The sequence below is a fragment of the Homo sapiens genome, chromosome 5 (genome assembly GCF_000001405.40).
Source record: "Homo sapiens chromosome 5, GRCh38.p14 Primary Assembly".
Lineage (NCBI taxonomy): Eukaryota > Metazoa > Chordata > Mammalia > Primates > Hominidae > Homo > Homo sapiens.
In genome coordinates, this window is record NC_000005.10 from 15,059,368 (window position 1) to 15,062,215 (window position 2,848).

The window sequence follows — 2,848 nt, forward strand, 5'->3', positions numbered from 1 at the left end:
ACATAAACAGAAATCTGGAGAACAGGCATGGGAATGGCTATTAAGGGTGTGGGATAATGGTGAAAGGAACATAGAGTAGGATCAGGCTGAATTTATTGATTTGGGCCCACTAAATAGGAACTCTATATTTAATGTTGCAGCTCAGGGAGTTAAAGGTTTATTTGCTTGGTTAGCGGACATTCGGACTAAAAGATGGCCCACTGTGAACAAGCTGGAAATGCCTGATCTCCCTTGGTTTAATGTAGAGGAAGGGATCAAAAGGCTTAGAGAGATTGGGATGGTGGAGTGGATTAGTCACTTTAGATGTACTCATCCCAGCTGGAAGGGTCCAGAAGATATACCCTTGACCAATGCCTTGCAAAATAGATTCGTGAGGGCAGCACCTGCATCTCTGAAGAGCCTTGTAATTGCTCTTCTCTGTATGTCAGATGCAACAGCGGGAACTGCAGTCACTCAATTACAAAATTTAAATACAATGGGAATAATTGGATCCCGAGGTGTCAGGGACCAAGTGGTAGCACTCAACCATCAAAGGCAAGGTGGGTGTAGCGACCGTAATGGACAGCAGAGGCAAAGTGGCAATCAGAATAGTCTGACTCGTGTAGAGCTCTGGCACTGGCTAATTAGTCACAGTGTTCCTAGAAGTGAAATTGATAGGAAGCCTATCGCATTCCTACTTTGTATAAGCAGAAAACTTCTAGTTCAAATGTATAAAAGACTAATTTGAATTATAAAAACAGAGAATCACGGACCCTCAGTCAATTTCCAGACTTGAGCCAGTTTACAGACCCAGAACCCCTTGAATGAAGGGGAGGACTGGTCCCCTTGAGGAAGGACCCCACTACATTACCGACAATTTATGCAGTGGATCTTTCTCCCATCCTTCCCCAAGGAGACTTCTGGCCTTTTACCAGGGTAACTGTGCCCTGGGGAAAGGGAAATGATCAGACATTTGGGGACTACTGGACACTGGCTCTGAGCTGATGTTAATTCCAGGAGACCCAAAACATCATTGTGTTCCTCCAGTTAAAGTAGGGGCTTATGGAGGTCAGGTAATTTATGGAGTTTTAGCTCAGTTCTGACTTACAGGGAGTCCAGTGCGTCCCTGGACTCATCCTGTGGTATTTCCCCAGTGCCAGAATGCATAATTGGCATAGACATACTTAGCAGCCGGCAGAACTCCCACATTGGCTCCCTGACTGGTAGGGTGAGGGATATTATGGTAGGAAAGGCCAAATGGAAGCCACTAGAGCTGCTTCTGCTTAGAAAAATAGTAAATCAAAAACAACGTTGCATCCCTGGAGGGATTGTGGAGATTAATGCCACCATGAAGGAATTGAAAGACGCAGGGGTGGTGATTCCCACCACATCCCCATTCAACTCTCCCATCCAGCCTGTGCTGAAGACAGATGCATCTTGGAAAATGACAGTGAATTATTGTAAGCTTAACCAAGTTGTAACTCCATTTGCAGCTGCTATACCAGATGTGGTTTCATTGCTTGAGCAAATTAACACATCTCCTAGTACCTGGTATGCAGCCATTGACTTGGCAAATGCCTTTTTCTCCATTCCTGTCCGTAAGGTCCACCAGAAGCAATTTGCCTTCAGCTGGCAAGGCCAGCAATATGCCTTTACTGTCCTACCTCAGGGGCATATCAACTCTCTGGCTTTGTGTCATAATCTTATTTGAAGAGACCTTGATTGCTTTTCACTTTTGCAAGATATCACATTGGTCCGTTACATTGATGACATTACGTTGATTTGATCCATTATGTGAGCAAGAAGTAGCAAACACACTGGACTTATTGGTTAGACATTTGTATGCCAGGGGATGGGAAATAAATCTGACTAAAATTCAGGGACCTTCTACCTCAGTAAAATTTCTAGGAGTCCAGTGGTGTGGCCTGTTGAGATATTCCTTCTAAGGTGAAGGATAAGATGCATTTAGCTCCTCCTACAACTAAGAAAGAGGCAAACAGTGAGCCCATCTGGATTTTGGAGACAAGACATTCCTTATCTGGGTGTGTTATTCTGGCCCATTTATTGAATGACCCGAAAGGCTGCCAGTTTTGAGTGGAGTCCAGAACAGGAGAAGGCTCTGCAACAGGTTCAGGCTGCTGTGCAAGCTGCTCTGCCACTTGGGCCATATGACCCAGCAGATCCAATGGTGCTTGAGGTGTCAGTGGCAGATAGGGATGCTGCTTGGAGCCTTTGCCAGTCCCCCATAGGTGAATCACAGCAGAGGCCTCTAGGATTTTGGAGCAAGGCCCTGCCATCTTCTGCAGATAACTACTCCCCTTTTGAGAAACAGCTCTTGGCCTGTTACTGGGCTTTGGTGGAAACTGAACGTTTGATTATGGGTCATCAAGTCACCATGCGATCTGAACTGCCTATCAAGAACTGGGTGCTTTCTGACCCATCTGGGCATAAAGTGAGTCATGTACAGCAGCTTTCCAACATCAAATGGAAGTGATATACACGTGACTGGGCTCGAGCAAGTCCTGAAGGCACAAGTAAGTTACATGAGGAAGTAGCTCAAATGCCCATGGTCTCCACTCCTGGCACCCTGCCTTCTGTCCCCGACCCTGCACCCATGGCCTCATGGGGAGTTCCCTATGACCAGTTGACAGAGAAAGATAAGACTAGGGCCTGGTTCGCAGATGGTTCTGCATGATATGCAGGCACCATCCAAAAGTGGTCAGCTGCAGCACTACATCCCCATTCTAGGACATCCCAGAAGGACAGTGGTGAAGGAAAATCTTCCTAGTGGGCAGAACTTTGAGCAATGCATTTGGTTGTGCACTTTGCGTGGAAGGAGAAATGGCCAGACGTGCAATTATATACTGAT